General features: G+C 47.1%; 1 protein-coding gene across 3 annotated transcripts in view, besides 1 other annotated feature; it reads right to left on the bottom strand.

Moving 5' to 3' along the window:
* Window positions 1-16,616, bottom strand: part of CD8B2 (CD8B family member 2) — a 56,934-nt gene that overhangs the window by 32,692 nt on the left and 7,626 nt on the right. The window contains exons 3-6 of one of the 3 annotated variants that reach the window (XM_024453217.2): window positions 15,344-15,433; window positions 9,043-9,132; window positions 7,281-7,317; window positions 463-4,736 (exon numbers count right to left, since the gene is read on the bottom strand). In XM_024453217.2, the coding sequence (XP_024308985.1) occupies window positions 4,616-4,736; window positions 7,281-7,317; window positions 9,043-9,132; window positions 15,344-15,433 (338 nt within the window). In that variant the 3' untranslated portion in view covers window positions 463-4,615. Of the gene's footprint in view, window positions 1-462; window positions 4,737-7,280; window positions 7,318-9,042; window positions 9,133-15,343; window positions 15,434-16,616 lie in introns of those variants that run through there. The other 2 variants (NM_001349727.2, NM_001368307.2) reach the window with 2 other exon arrangements.
* Window positions 8,592-9,091: an enhancer, noted in NCBI's record as "H3K27ac hESC enhancer chr2:107118971-107119470 (GRCh37/hg19 assembly coordinates)". NCBI's record gives its function as "activates a minimal SCP1, AML or CMV promoter by ChIP-STARR-seq in primed H9 embryonic stem cells {active_cell/tissue: H9 hESC(primed)}" and the evidence as "EXISTENCE:reporter gene assay evidence [ECO:0000049][PMID:30033119]".

Raw genomic sequence — 16,616 nt, 5'->3', positions numbered from 1 at the left:
CCACTTCCTACAGGTAGAGACACAAGCTGCGGGGCGGGGGTGAGGATGAGTAAGGATGAAAGGGAGGGGGTGGTGTAGGACCCCCCTTCTTCTTTTGAACAGGCCGGGGTGGGCTCCACACCTGCAGGCTACTTCCCACTGAAAGGAAGGGGGCGGGGGGAGGGGAGAACACCAGTGCTGCTCCCAGACCCATTAAGGTCCACAGAAAAACACAGAAAAGGGAGTACTATAGATGTTCTCCTTCAGAGCAGAGAACCCAGGCTCACCTAAGGTTGCTGGAGTGCAGACCACCCCTGCCACGAGCCCAGCCCCATGTGAACTTCCAGACAAGTAAATGCAATTGCAAATGTAGCTCGCCCAAAGTCTACAGCTGGTGAAGACCCAGGCTGTGCTGTCTGGCCACCTCGGACCTGCCTCACCGTGATTTCCATGGTTCAGATTTTTTTAATTTATGAATAAATCTTTCGTTTGTGGATATTTTTATTGATTCCAACTTCTTATTATAACAATGGCTAGAGGTTCTTTTTTTCCAAACTTTTAATTGCTTTTTCCCCAACTACAAAAGTAATACATGATGTAAAAATTCACACAAGGAACTGTACAAAGCAGAAGTGGAAATTCCCCAGAGTCACTGCAATTAACAGCTGAAAGTAAATCCTTACAGACCTTTTCCTGTACATATACAAACAAATATACCCGGAGGCCTTGATTTATTATTAGAGAAAAAAGATCAAATCTGCAGAACAATATTAGAAGATTTAATTTTCTATATTCTCTATTTTATGTATTATATTCTCGAGATTTCAATTTTATGTTTTAAAAAATATGGGAAGAAAAAAAAACAAGAAACTTTTTTTAGAAAAAATTTATTTTTGAGACAAGGTCTGTCTGTGTTGCCCAGGCTGGAGTGCAGTGGCGTGATCACAGCTCACTGCAGTCTCAAACTCCTGGGCTCAGGAGATCCTCCCACCTCATCCTCCCTAATAGCTGGGACTCCAGGCAAGCACCACCATGCCCAGAAAAAAATTTAAAAATTTTTTGTAGAGTCGAGGTCTTGCTATGTTGCCTAGGCTGCTCTCAAACTCCTGAGCTCAAGTGATCATTCTGTGTGGGCCTCCCAAAGTACTGGGATTACAGGCATGAGCTGTAATCCCATGTGCTTGCTGAAGAAACTTCCAAATACCAATTTTACACGGTTCTACAATGTTCTGTACTTGGATTTTAAAAAGTCTCTTTCTTGAAGTATAATTTACATCTATATCCATAGCTCTAAAGTCAACATATCTGAGTGTACAGCTTGATGACTTTTACTAATGAAACACACTCATATAAGTGATTCCCAGATTGAGAAGCAGAAACGCTCACCTTCAAACCTCATGCTCCCTCCTAATGACCATCACTGGACCAAGGGTAACTGTATCCTAACTTCTAACAACATATATTTGTTTTGCTTGTTTTCTTCTGTGCTTGAATTTTAACAGTGACTACGTATTGCGCCATATATTGTATTAAGAATAATCTATACAGATGTTTTAAAAATATATGCATTTGTCATGACCATCATTTGATATCAGCATATATGGATCTAGCTCATTCCTTAGCAGCCGCCTAAACCCCCTTATTAGACTGTGTCTGAATTTATCTGACCAGTCCCTTTTGATGGACATTTGGATTATTTCCCATTTTTAGCTAGTAAGCAGCACTAGAAGGAACAATCTGATGCGTATTTCTTTGTGCATGCCACTTTTTGATGTATTTCTTTCAGATAAATGCCAACAAGTGGAACTGCTAGTCAAAAGATAGCTGGATGGAGTTTGGGGGGCATATTTCATCATAATGGCCCTATAGAGTGTAGTAGCAGCTCAGTTCCTTCTTCAAACAAAGGTCAGGTGCTGGGTGCAGACCTTCTCACTGCAGCCCCCACCATTGGCAGCCCAGCCTGCTCCAGCTCCCTGGGTGGCCGGAGCTGAGCCCGCCTCGGCAGGTGCCTGCTGCACAGAAAACTGACGGAGGAGCACAAACCACCCCTGCCCCCAGCCCAACCCCATGAGAACTTGTGAACAAGTACATGCAATTGCAAAGACAGCAGCAGGGAGATGGTCAAATTTCAAAGCCTGCAGTGGGACAAGGGGCCTTGTGGCCTGTTCTTACTTCCGCTGTGCACTGGGTGTGAGCCTTCAAGGAGGGCAGACCACGTGCACTGCAGGCCTTAATCTCTTATTTGTTTGTGATGGGCCGGGTGAGGGGCCCACCTGAAACACGAACCCTAGAGGAGTCTGGTCCAGCTGACCCCAATTCTTTCACCCCTCCCCTCAGCCTTGGAAGGCAGCCTGTCCCTTGTCCTCAGAGCTGATGGGCAGAGCTTTTGTTTCTTTTGAACAACTCTTGCTGAGGCAGGAGTCTAGGGTCTGGGGCCAGGGAATCTAAGGCCAATTCGTGCTGAATCAAGGAGAAACATCTATGTCTGGGGGCAGGGAATCTGAGGCCAATTTGTGCTGACTTCTCAAAGCTGGATCAAATGGAAAACACCTGGGTCTGGGGGCAGGGCATCTAAGGCCAATTCGTGCTGAATGAAGGAGAAACACCTACGTCTGGGGGCAGGGAATCTGAGGCCAATTTGTGCTGACTTCTCAAAGCTGGAGCAAACGGAAAACACCTGGGTCTGGGGGCAGGGCATCTAAGGCCAATTAACGTACACCAAAAGGAAAAACCCCATCTCCCCACACTGAGTAACCAAGGATCAAAGGCTACTCTCCCTACAACCCTCCCCCTTCCACTGCATCTCAGATGGAAAGGGAGACTGCCCTGGATTGACCACAGACCAAGCACGGGCCATCCCTTCATCCGCATAGGGCGTCAATTCACCTCAGCCTTTCATTAGCCATGGACCAAATCCTTCACCCAGATTAAGGGGTAGCCGACAGGTACCTCAAAAGGGGTACTTAAAACCCAGAAAACTTTGCAATTGGGCCCATGGGCTATCTGCTTAGGGTCCACTCCTACCATGTGGAGTGCTTTCTCACTTCAATAAATTCTTCCTTTTGCTGCGTTTATTCCTTTATTACTTTGTATGTTTTGTTCAGTTCTTTGTTCAAAATGCCAAGGACCTGGACAACTTACACTCAAGGCCCTCCTTCCGGTAACACTGCATCTATGCCTTTCTAACTCCACCCACCACACCTCATTCTGCTGCGGCCGCACCCCAGATGCCAGGAGAAGGTCCCACTGCCCCTTCCCCAGAGTCGTCTTTCCTTTCCTGTTTTTTTTGTAACATTTCTTACATTCTGTGGTTGTCACAGGTAACTGAACATAACCTGATTTGTCAATGTCCTTCCTTGAGCTGGCCAGGAGAAGCAGGTGAGGCTGGATTCTCCCTGGACCTGGACGTGGTGCTTCTGTTAATGCAGCCTCAGGTTGCAGTGTTTTATGGTGCAATAGCTCCTAGGCTGCTAAAGCTCAGGTAGGGGCGGCTAAGATGGGTCTCAGGCACTTTTTCAAACCCAGGCACGAGGTCCTGCTCTTCACTCTCCACTCCTGCTCAGCACTTTCTCCTTGCTTTTTCCTTCTCCAACTGTCAAGGCTAAGAATCAATAAGAAAATGAAGAGACATGTGACAGAACCCCTCATGCCTCCTACCTTCTGTTTGGTGCCTGACTTGAAGCCAGGGATCCCTGCGGTTCAACCCGCGGTAGAAATGAACACGTGCTAGTTCAGCTTGGGAGTGGGCTGGGAGAGGGGCCTGAGGCACCTGCAGCCTGGCTCTGGGTGCCCTGGGCGCTTCCTAGCCTCTCTAGGACTCTCCACACCTACAATGTCGGGCAAATGAGGATCTCAGGTGCAAAAGGAGGATGTACAAATTTTCTCCTTCTGGTTTCTGTTCCACTGAGCACTGATGTCTTTGCTGTAGATGGGCTTTCGTACGTTTATGTCACAGGACCCGTTTGTTATCTTTAACCTGGGACTTTATTTGTACAACTAAGACATTTGTATAAAACAAACAGAAAATGAAAGAAGCATTAAGCCATGGGAGAGTAGAAATGGGAGCTGAGAAACTTAAGAGTAGAAATTGGAGCTAAGAAGATGAAGTGAACTCCTATCCTCAAACCCGCAAGTTCCCGGCCCCAAAGGAAGCCCTCAGAGACTGACATGGCTTCTGGGAACTGGACAGCCCCTCTCAGCAAGCCTCATTCCCAACCTGCACCTGGCCTCTCTGCGAGGAAGGTCAGCCCCAGCCTGGGAAGACCAAGAGGGAGCCAGCCCAGCATCACCCCATGAAAGACCCAGGACCCAATGTTACTGCCCTACCAGGGCAAAGCAACTTGCAAAGATGGTGGCTAAACGGCCACCACTAAAGGTCCCAGCTCAGGGAAAGCACAGGAGCCGGAAGCGGTGGCATGGGCAGCATTTCTTACTCAGTCCTCCAGCACACTCTGTGAAGTGCCCTGGGGGCAATGAAACCTTCTCCCTAGTATTCCCGATGACCCACAAACAAGTTGCTCCCATGCACGTCACACACAGAAAGGCCTTGCAGCAGTGAAAAGCAGGCAGCTTCAGCAGCCATTGAACTCTCCAGGGTTGAATGTGTCCCTTCTCTCATTTTTCCACATCGTGCTCGTTACTGACCGATGTCTTTTTGTAGCAGGACACCAAAACCGTATTCTCTGCTCATTTGTAAAATCTGAAAACAACAGCAAGTTGTGAAACCACTTATTTTCAGGCAAACGATATTGAATTTCCTGTAACAGAGACAAATGGCAAGTGAGAATGCAGAGTTCTACTCCAAGTAGCCTGGGGCCGAGAGTTTTTTGTTAGTATGTTTCTAGGGCCCATCTTAGTCATTAAAAAGATTGTTAAGGCTAAAAACCAAAACAAAACAAAACTGCAGCTCAAAGAACGGTAGCTTTGAATTGGGTTACTTCCTGTAGTACCTCTAAAATAATCTAAGAGAATCACAAATTTATATCAAGGGGCCAGAAGAAATTAGCCTGCGGATGGGATGATTTTCTAAGGACAGTTAGAGGCTGGGGAACAACTACCTCAAATCGCAACTCAGATCTGTGAGCACCACAGGCTATTTTCTCCATGCCTGGATCATGAGAGCAAAACCAGAGGTGGTTTTCAAGCTTTTCTGAAGCCACAAACCCTTTTGTTCAAATGACATGTTACAGGTAAGTGTAAACCCAGACAGTAGAAGAGAGTACGTCTGTTCAAAATGAAGAGAGTGAGGAGGTCTCAGGGTCCCCCCACGACCACCCAGAGCCCCTTCCCTGCCTCAAGCTGACCCTGGGCTTGCAAAAGCATGAGGTCCTGCATCCAGCCTCCCCAAAACTGGCATCAGATCACTGGGGAGCAAGTTAAAATGAAGGGGTGGGGACAGACCCAGACCACAGTTAGTACCAGAGAGGGACTTACTTTCCATGAAAGGTCATCATGGGAGAGATTTTGAACGGAACTTTCTTTTTTTTTTTTTGAGACAGAGTTTCACTCTTGTTGCCCAGGCTGCAGCGGAATGGTGTGATCTCTGCTCATTGCAACCTCTGCCTCCGGGGTTCAAGCGATTCTCTTACCTCAGCCTCTTGAGTAGCTGGGATTACATAGGCGCCCGCCACCACGCCCAGTTAATTTTTTGTATTTTTAGTAGAGATGGGGTTTCACCATGTTGGCCAGGCTGGTCTCAAACTCCTGACCTCAGGCGATCTACCTGCCTTGGGCCTCCCAAAGTGCTGGGATTACAGGCTTGAGCCACCGCACCCGGCCTTGAATGGAACTTTCTAGAGGTCTGGCCTGAGACAGCTACACTCAAGTTATTATCTCTTGGGTAGGGGGCAGCTTCTAAATCCAACACACAAGGTGAAAATTGTACACAATTAAAATATCATTGAAAATTGCCCATAAAATCCAGCAGGCATGTTTAAGCCACTCTCGATATAAATATAATGTGTACAACAGTGCAGAGCATATAGTAATATGAATTTATATGGCTATTTACAATTTTAGAGTATTCAAAAATACATTTTGTTTGTCCGTTGCTGCACTTGCAGAGTGGAATTTACTGAAGTGACTTGAGCTTGTGCTCTGACTCAGGGGTCCTGGGGCCACATGCTTTAAGGATAATACCCCAGTGAGCCCTCACACTGACTGTGAGATTGGCACTGTTAGCTCATTTAACAGACGAGAAATCCGAGACTTGGAGACATGAAGTGACTTGCTGGCTGTCACATGGTGATTGGCAGACGGGATTCAAACCCAGCCCTGTCTCCACCTAAAGCTGGAGCTTTTGAGCAAGAGAACCTGTTGCCCTCGTCAATTTAGAGTTGTGTACTTTTGCTCCCCCAAACATTTCTGTATAGAGGGGGTTGTTCTAAGGATCAAATGTAATTAACTGGATAGGCAGATGTGAAACAGTCTCTGTTTTGAGGAACAAAAATCAAATGCAGGAATGCTGCCCTGGCCCAGGATGGCTTCCAACAGCCTCATGAAAGACCCAGGACCTAATGTCACTGCCCTACCAGGGAAAAGCAACTTGCAAAGGTGGTGACTAAATGGCCACCACTAAAGGTCCCAGCCCAGCCCAGGGTAAGTACAGGCGCTTTCTCAGCTTAGTGGGCCCCAAGAGTGCTATGTGACTCTGTCAACTCCTGGGACCCAGATGGGGTCGAGGGCGGCAGGTGGGACAAAGGCAGCTCCTAGGGAAGGAAAGCAATGGCTGGTGGAAGAGGCTGGTCTTCAAATCCGATTCCAGTAGTCTCTCCACTGATCTGTCAAATGAGGGTGATAACCCCTTATCTCACACAGAACCAAGGGGATGAAATAATAGGTGGGATGAAATAACGGATGGGATGAGTTTGGGATACTCTGCGGTATTCTGTGCATGCAAAGCCTGATTGCTCTCCTCAGGAGAGCTAAGAATGTTGTTGAAATACATTTAACTTATTGGTCAGGTTTTTGTTTGTTTAGGTTATCTCTTAGGTTCCTGAACTCTATCACCCCACCTATTTATACAGTCTGTAAATTTTTTTTTAGATGGGGTCTCACTCTGTTGCCCAGGCTGGAGTGCAGTGGTACCATCATAGCTCACTGCAGCCTTGAACCCCTGGGCTCAAGTGATCCTCCTGCTTCAGCTCCCGAGTAGCTGTGACTACAGGTGTGCACTACCACGCCCGGCCGAGTCTATGATCTTTGGAAGATGAGGTCTGACTTTGGCTCCTCGCCGCAGTTAGAGGCTGCAAGCTGCAGCAGGGGCTGAGGAACCCAAGGCCACACCCAGGTTATACACTTACTGTTTCATGAAACGAAGCCGGGCTCTCCTCCGCCGGCCTGGAAGAGGAAAGCAAGGGCGCCAGTCAGTGTGGGCTGTGGGTCACTGTGCTGAGCCCCAGAGGCCAAGGAGGATTGTCACAGGGGCAGCTGACACCTCAGCCCACCTCCCTGGTCCCAGACCCTGGCCCAAACACTTTACACATTTTAATCCCCTTAATGCTCACTGAAAACCTGAGTTGGATACTACTTTTAAGATCTCCATTTTATATGTGGGAAACTGAGACACAGAGTGAGTGAATTACTGGATAACATGCCCAAAGTCATGCAGCTAGTAAGTGGGAAAGCCAGAATTCAAACTCAATTAATCAGCTGCAGAGTCTGTGTCCTTAAACACACCTGCTTGCCCTTCACAGCAGGTCAGACATGAAAGGTCCCAGAGACAGGCAGTCTCAGGCTAGGGCAATTGCATTCAGAGGATGAGCGAGATTTCCCACTGGGAGTTAGGAAGAAAATAAAAGCATGTCTATTGACATTTGTATTTCAGCCTTTATTACTTTTGATTTTCATTTATTTTTTTAGGAATGGGGTCTTATTATGTTGTCTAGGCTAGACTTGAACTCCTGGGCTCAAGTGATCCTCCCTCCTCAGCCTCTCAAGTACGGGCACTTGCCACTACACCCAACTTGCTTTTCATTTTGAAGCACATTTAATAACATACATAAAATATTAAATAAGTAAATACAGCCAACTGCTGCATTTACTTTATAATATTCAATTAGCTGTATTCGCTTATTTAACATTTTATGCATGTTATTAAATGTGTTTCAAAATATTTTACCAATGAGGTCCTTCCTTGATCGAGAGAGTTTGCAAACCACTGAGATTTATGGGTTTCTTAGAATGGGGTACATGGGCCCCTCTGTGGGGAACAATTGTAGGCAAAAGTATGCTCCTGGGTGCATTTCTGTGGGGAGAGGTCCGTTATTTTCATCGTATGTTCAAAGGGGTCTGTGACCTACAAAAGTTAAGAGCCACTGATCTAGTTCATGCCCTTGCTGTCCCACCTGCCCACTTTATAGATGCGCAGAGAGGGGAAGGGGCTGGCTCGAGGTGGCACAGGTGAGCAGAAGAACCGGGGTAGAGTCTGGGCTCTGGGCTCTAGGGCAGCCATGCAGGCCTCCCCTCCGGCTCCCCGTCTTTCTTGTGAACCCAGTGCTGTGCAGAGCTTGGGGTGGGGGCCATAGAAGGAAACAGTCCAGTCTCTGGGGTGGCTGGGAGCAGCAGTCATTTCTGTTTCCCACAGCCTCATCAATATCGGTGTCGTGGAGAGGATTTCTAGCTTCTAGGAACACAACACAAACCCCATAGGCAAACTTTTCTGGACACTGGGCTTTGGTCTCAACTGCTCACGTGAGTTCCCACTCACTGACACGTGCCGAGTGCCAGGCATTTGGGGTAGGAATTTACAAACAGCAACTCTGGGAGGTAGCTAATGTCCTACCCCCATCTGAGGCAGCCGAGGCTCAGAGAGACCGGGGCACTGGATCAGGAAACAGCCACGTTGCACTCAAACCCAGGTTTGCCTGACTCCAGGGACAGGGTGGTCTTTGGTTTTGGCTGCGTAGCCCCAGGCCAAGAACTACCTCCGGAAATACCGCAGGTTCTCTGAGGCAAATTCCCACCAGGCTGCCATCTGCTCTGCTCCCCTAGAGAAGAAAGTATCCCAGGGACACTTCAAACAGCAAACAGGGACACCCAACAACCCAAGAGGAGACAACTCACAGCACAGGTGCATGGCCACTCCCAGGGAAACCAGCAGAACCAGGACGCCAGCCACCAGCAGGCCAAGGGTGACGGGGCTACAAAGTGGGCCTGGAAAACACACATGTGACATGTGTTCAACACAGAACATTTTTCTGCGTGAGACACGCAGAAAAATACAAGGAGCGAAAAATTCAACTGGAAGCCCCACCTCCCAGAGAATACCACCATTTGTATTTCGATGTAATGTATGTTTCCTCAAGTCTTTTTTTTTTTTTTTTTTTTTTTTTGAGACAGAGTCTTGCTCTGTCACCCAGGCCGGAGTGCAGTGGTGCATTCTCAGCTCACTGCAACTTCCGCCTCCTGGGTTCAAGGGATTCTCATTCTTAGCCTCCCGAGTAGCTGGGATTACAGGCATGTGCCACCATGCCTGGCTAATTTTTGTATCTTTAGTAGAGAGAGGGTTTTATCATGTTGGCCAGGCTGGTCTCAAACTCCTGGCCTCAAGCAATCCGCCCACCTTGGCCTCCCAAAGTGCTGGGATTACAGGCCTGAGCCACCATGTCCAGCCATCGTCTAGTCTTTGTAAGCACTTTAAACATTATTGAAATCATTTTATTATAAAATTTCATGTCCCACATTCAAATTTTTAAGAAGTAGACAATTTTCATGCCTGGTAATGAGTCTTTTACTATTTATTTTTAAAACTTTTATTTTTCACAAGAAATAGCTGAATATATTTTCATTGTAAGACATTTAAATATAGGATTAGAGTGTTCCCTGACATCTTTGCTCCTTCACAGAATTAATCACCATTGATAATTTAGTAACTTTCTCTTTCCATGCCTATGTAATTTTTATAGATACATATAGGGTTTGTTCGTTTGTTTGTTTGTTTGTTTTGATACAGAGTCTCGCTCTGTCGCCCAGGCTGGAGTGCAGTGGCACAATCTTGGCTCACTGCAACCTCCGCCTTCTGGGTTCAAGCGATTCTCCTGCCTCAGCCTCCCAAGTAGCTGGGATTACAGGCGTCCGCCGTCATGCCTGGCTAATTTTTGTATTTTTAGTAGAGATGGGGTTTCACCACGTTGGCCAGGATGGTCTCAATCTCCTGGCCTCAAGTGATCCACCCGCCTCAGCCTCCCAAAGTGCTGGGATTACAGGTGTGAGCTACCGCAACTGGCCTTAAATACATATAGTTTTAAAAAATATATAGAGTGGATTATACTGTACAAATTGTTCTTTTGTACCTTTATTTTTTCAATGCACCTTTTTTCCTTCACTTAGTCAATGTGTTCTTTCTTCCAGCAGAGTAACATCTGACAGCATGGATGTACCATGAGTTACTTGTCATCAGTGGGCCTTTTGATTGTTTCCTGTGTTTTACTTTTACAAATAACTCTGCAGAAAACAACCTGTATATTTCCTTACAAAGGTGCCTTCCTGAGGTAAATACTGAGAACGGGAACTACTAAACCCCAGACTTTGCCCATTTTAAATTGTGACAGATGCTGTCAAATGCCTCCCTAAAAGGCGGCACTGACTTCCGTCCCCACCCGCCAATAGTGCACCTTGCTGACCCTTGATATCATCAAAATGTTTTAGTTTTTGCCAGTCAAGTGGGGGAAAATGTTATTTCACTTAAATTCCCTAATTTCTTATAAGCTTTGGCCTATTTTCATATATTGGGAACTTGTATGATTTTTCTTCTACGAGTTGACTATCTTTTCCTTTGTCCATTTTGTGTGCTATTTAAACAGCAGACTTTACACTATCAATGTCCCAAATCCTCCTCTGACACCCTTCAGGCCCCTGTGGCTGGTCCCTTGAGTAGCTGAGGGGCAAAGCAGGGCCCATGGGTGAAAGGGCAAGGCTGCAGATTTGGGCTCGAGGTTCGGAAAATTGGAAAGCATTGTGGATGTCAAGGAAGAGAGAGAATTTTTACTGAATACATATGTGCTAAGTACATACTAAATGCAAACTCCCATCTTGTGAGGAAGAAAGGTATTGGTATTTTTTAATTATTTATTTATTTATTTATTTATTTATTTATTTATTTATTTTTGAGACGGAGTTTTGCTGTTGTTGCCCAGGCTGGAGTGCAATGGCGAGATCTGGGCTCACCGCAACCTCTGCCTCCTGGGTTCAAGCGATTCTCCTTTCTCAGCCTCCTTAGTAGCTGGGATTACAGGCATCTGTCACCACACCCGGCTGATTTTTGTGTTTTTAGTAGAGATGGGTTTTCACCATGTTGGCCAGGCTGGTCTCGAGCTCCTGACCTTATGTGATCCACCTGCCTTGGCCTCCCAAAGTGCTGGGATTACAGGTGTGAGCCACCGTGCCTGGCTTGCCATTATTTTTACCTCTCATTTCACAGTTCAAAAAACAAAAACAACAAGATTCAAAGAGGTTAAATTATATAACCAAGGTCACCCAGCTACTAAAAGGCAGGACCAGGGTGTGGACACAGATCCTCCGAGTTCCAAGCCCCTGTGGGGCCCACCTCAGCTGCATGAGGGCATGAGAGGTACAGGAGGGAAGGGAGCGGGCTGCTACATGGGTGGCAGCCCACTGTCACTAGAGGGGAACAAGCCAAGGCTGGATGGCTGGGGTGTGGAGAGGAGATTCATACACGGACAGGGAGGCTGGATGAGGGGCCCCTCTGAGATGCTGAGGGCATCTGCTGGGCTCCCTCTCACCTCCTATTTGTTCTCCCAACCTGGATGAACCTCAAAACATGGTGCTAAGTGAAAGAAGCCAAGCATGAAAGACCCCATGGTGTGTGATTCCACTTCTATGAGATGCCCTGGGGAGGCAAATCTGCAGAGGTAGACGGTAGATTAGTGGCTGCCAGGGGCTGGGAACAGAGATGAGCTGTGAACAAGCACAGGGAATCTTACTGGGGTGATGGAAACCTTCTGAAACTAGATTACGGTAACGGTCGCCCAACTTGGTAAATTTACCCAAAATCATTGAATTTGTATGCTTAAAATGGGTGAACTTTGCGGTATGCAAATTATATCTCAACTAAGGTTTTTTTTTTTTTTTTTTTTGAGACAGGGTCTTGCTCTGTCGCCCAGGCTGAAGTGCAATGGCGTGATCTCGGCTCACCACAACCTCCACCTCCTGGGTTCAAGCGATTCTCCTGCCTCAGCCTCCTAAGTCGTTGGGATTACAGGTGCCCACCACAATGCCCAGCTAATTTTTGTATTTTTAGTGGAGACGGGTTTCGCCATGTTGATCAGGCTGGTCTCGAACTCCTGACCTCAGGTGATCCACCAGCTTTGGCCTCCCAAAGTGCTGGGATTATAGGTGTGAGCCACCATGCCTAGCTCAACTAAGTTTTTAAAAACTGTAATGGAGGTGGGTGCAGGTCGCAGGGATGTACAGGGCGGCAGGGCTCCTTCCTGAGGAGAGGTCATGGTTAAGACCACTGTGGAGGCCAGCAATGTAGCTACAGGTCTCCTCTGGAGCACTGTCTCCCATCCAAAATGTGACTCTCCGGGAAAAGTTGCTGCTGCAAATAACGTGCTTGGGTAAGGGGTCATTTGCCAGAGCCACACCAATGACACCCCCAGCCCAGCCTTCCTCATCTTACTGGGGCCTCAGGGTCTCCTGAGCTCTGGATCTGCACTCTGCTCCTGAGTCCATGGTTTAGAAATGGTCCCCCAGCACCTAAGGGTGTTGTCTTAGGAACAGCCCTAAGCCTCAGGGACAGTGCCTTCTCAGTGACCCCATGGGTTTCATTCATGATCACAGGCTTTGAGGTCTGTGTGGACGCCCCACAAGCTCTGAGTGCCTGGTGTATAATAGCATCTCATTTAATCCTGCATCCCCATTTCACAGACAAGGAAACTGAGGTTCACAGAGGCTGAATCACCTATTCAGTGTCTCATAGTACAGGCAGTGGTAGACAGAGATTCAGACCTAGGCCTGACTGACTTGCCACTAGGCTACACTGACCCAGGGCCACTCTCCTCAGTGTAACCTCCACCTACTTTCCCCACACCCATCCCCAGCCTTACTCCACTAGGTCACCTTCACACACATCCGGGTTATTCTTAACAACCTATTAATCTTTGGTTTGCATTTTGCCCTGGGAATTTACTGAGGGTTAGTACAAGAAATGATGCAAGAGGCCAGGCGTAGTGGCTCACGCCTGTAATCCCAGCACTTTGGGAGGCCAAGGCAGGTGGATCACCTGAAGTCAGGAGCTCAAGACCAGCTTGGCCAACATGGTGAAACCCTGCCTCTACTAAAAATACAAAAATTAGCCAAGCGTGGTGGTGGGCACCTGTAATCCCAGCTACTCTGGAGGCTGAGGCAGGAGAATCACTTGAACCTGGGAGGCGGAGGTTGCAATGAGCTGAGATCACGCCACTGCACTCCAGCCTGGGCAACAGAGTGAGACTCCATTTCAAAAAAAAAAAAAGAAAGAAAGAAAAGAAATTATGCAAGAAATCTGAAGACCTTTGTTTTTGCCATCATTTATAAAAGTATGAGTGAGTTTGCCGTCATTCAGCTGTCCTTACATGAAGATGAATGGGCAGATTGCTTCTAGAATTTAGTGCTAGGATGAAGGTTTCTTCTTTTGGTGGCAGGTTGTTTCTTTCTATCACTGGGGTTGGGGTGCCATACAACTTGGGGTCTTCCCTTTGTTTAAACTGATGTTGCTGGGTTCTCCACAGCCATAGCACACAACCAGTTCTTGTGCCCTCATCTTAGTGGCTCTATTGTATTTGCCTTTTATATCCTTTTTATTGTAGTCTGCCTGAAATCGTTTAGGTGAAGGGGTCAGGGCATGGGACTTTGTAAAATAAGGTTACTCTTAAGCTCCTTAAGACTTTACTCTTCTGTACATTGGTTCTGATTTTCTTTTTACTGTGACCTCATGTGACGGCAGCTTCCCACCCTGGTCTCCCAGATCCTATTCAGTACTGTCCTCAATAATTTCTGGTACTTAAAATATTTAAGACAAAGCAAACTGAGCAGTGTGAGGCAGTGCTCCTGGGGCTGCTTGTGGTTTGTTTTCTGGGTAGCAGCAGATGGCACTTTCTGTTTGTCACCAGTGACTTTTGCTGGGCTGAGGTCAGTATTTTTCCAGAAACACGTTTGGGCTGATGGGTTTAAGGAAAGCGTGTGCATGGGCATGTGTGTCTGTGTGTGTGTGTATGTGCGTACACTCCAGCTGAGGTGTCTGGTGGAGCATAGAGAAGCAAATGTGTTCATTTGCAAACAAACATGTATTCATGAACTAGCACATACTGTGTATTAGGTCCTCTGTTAGGTATTAAAACTGGAAACTTTTTTTTGAGAGAGGGCCTGGCTCTATCACCCAGGCTGGAGTGCAGTGGCAGGATCTCAGCTCACTTCAATCTCCACCTCCCAGGCTCAAGGCATCCACCTCAGCCTCCTGAGTAACTGGGACTACAGGCATGTGCCACCACGCCCATCTAATTTTTTTACATTTTTGTAGAGACAGAGTTTCACCGTGTTGCCCAGGCTGGTCTCTAACTCCTGAGCTCAAGGCGATCCACCCATCTGGGCCTCCCAAAGTGCTGGGATTACAGGTGTGAGCCACCACGTCTGGCCAAAACTGGAAAAGTTTAAAGTGCTGGTCCTTTGAGTGGATTTTTTGTTTGTTAACAGCTTTATTGAGTTATAATTTACTCATAAAGTCCCCTTGTTTAAAGTGTACAATGTCATGGTTTTTAGTGTATTCATGGAGTTGTGCAACCATTATCATAATGTAATTTCAGAACATTTAAATTCCCCTAAAAAGAAACCTTATACCCATTAGGAATCACTCCCCATTTCTTTCCCAAGCCCCCAGCCTTAGGCAGCAACCAATCTACATTCTGTCTCTACAGAGGATCATATGCTGGATATTCCATAATCATGGAATCATATAGTATATGGATTTTTGTGACTGGCTCCTTTCATTTTATTCTTTATTATGGCCAAACAATATTCCACGATAATAAATAAGCCACATTTTGTTAATCAACTCATTAGCTGGTGGATGTTTGGGTAGTTTCTGCTTTTGGCTAGTATGAATAATGAAGCTGTGGACATTTGTGTGCAGGGGTGTGGGTGGAGATCTCCTCCATTAAGCTTTGTCCAGTAACAATTTACGAGTCTGTCTCCCACGAGACTGTGAGTTGCTATCACACTCAGCATCCTTTCTGACCCTAGCTTGGGCTGGGGAGATAGGCTCTAGAGTTGACACTTGGAAAGTGCCTGGGGAAGGAAGGAGGGGAGGGAGGGAGGGCAAGGGGATGTCTGCCTTGTTTCTGAGGGTGCAGAGGGATAGGGAACTCACCCTTCTGGGTCTCTGGCCTGGGTAACCGGCACACTCTCTTCTTGAGGGTGGACTTCTTGGTGGGCTGGGCAGTGGTGGGAAGGAAATCAACTACAGAAAGAAAGCAAGACACATATCTTAGCCAAGTGAACACCACGTGGACTCAAAGACAAAACTTTGTCTTATGGCCGGGTGCGGTGGCTCATGCCTGGAATCCCAACACTTCCGGAGGCCAAGGCAGGAGATCATTTGAGCTCGGGAGGTTGAGACCAGCCTGGGCAACATGGTGAAACCCCCTCTCTACAAAAAATAAAAAGTTTAGCCAGGCGTGGTGGCATATGCCTACAGTCCCAGCTACCCAGGAGGCTGAGGTGAGAGGATCACCTGAGCTTGGGAAGTCAAGGCTGAAGTGAGCCATGATCATGCAACTGCACTCTGGCTTGGGCGACAGAGCAAGACCCTGTCTCAAGAGCAAATAAATGAACAAATGAACAAAATTTGTCTTACATCCAAGTACTGAAGTCCTTATGACTGTTCCCCAGGCTGCTACAGGGCTTGAAGGTCACAGAGCAATAGAATGTTTGATCTGCTTTCTGAATTCTCAGATGTTGGGAAAGGGGTGAGGGCCTAGGGATGGGGTTCAGCTTTGTGTCCTGGAGAGAGGAAGGCTCTGGAGCCACACAGAACTGAGCAGAGCCTACACCTCTGATTTATTTATTTTTATTTTTTTATTTATTTATTTTTTGAGACAAAGTCTCGCTCTGTAGCCCAGGCTGGAGGGCAGTGGCACGATCTCGGCTCACTGCAACCTTTGCCTCCCGGGTTCAAGCAATTATCCTGCCTCAGCCTCCAGAGTAGCTGGGATTACAGGCGCGTACCACTGCATTCGTCGTGCCACTGCATTCGTCTAATTTTTTGTATTTTTAGTAGAGACGGGGTTTCACCATGTGGGCCAGGCTGGTCTTGAACTCCAATCCACTCACCTCGGGCTCCAAAAGTGCTAGTATTACAGGTACGAGCCACCGCACCCGGCCGACCTACACCCCTGATTAACCGCTGTATGACTTGGGACAAGTCATAGCATTTTTCTGTGCCTTGATTTCCTTATCTGCTGAAATAATGATAACTGCCACCTCCTTCTTGGGATTATCTGAGAATGAAAGGGACAGTGTGTCCAAAAAAAGTTTCAGTAGATGTGGCTCCACCTGGCTGAAGACCTTGAGCCCCAGGGCTGGATCGCCCAGCCTTTGGCACAACGAGCCCCTCCGCCCAACTCGGCATTCCCTAAGCACAT

Source organism: Homo sapiens, chromosome 2 (assembly GCF_000001405.40).
Source record: "Homo sapiens chromosome 2, GRCh38.p14 Primary Assembly".
Taxonomy (NCBI): Eukaryota; Metazoa; Chordata; class Mammalia; order Primates; family Hominidae; genus Homo; species Homo sapiens.
Note: the sequence above shows the minus strand (reverse complement) of the source record. Positions and strands in the feature narration are given on the sequence as shown.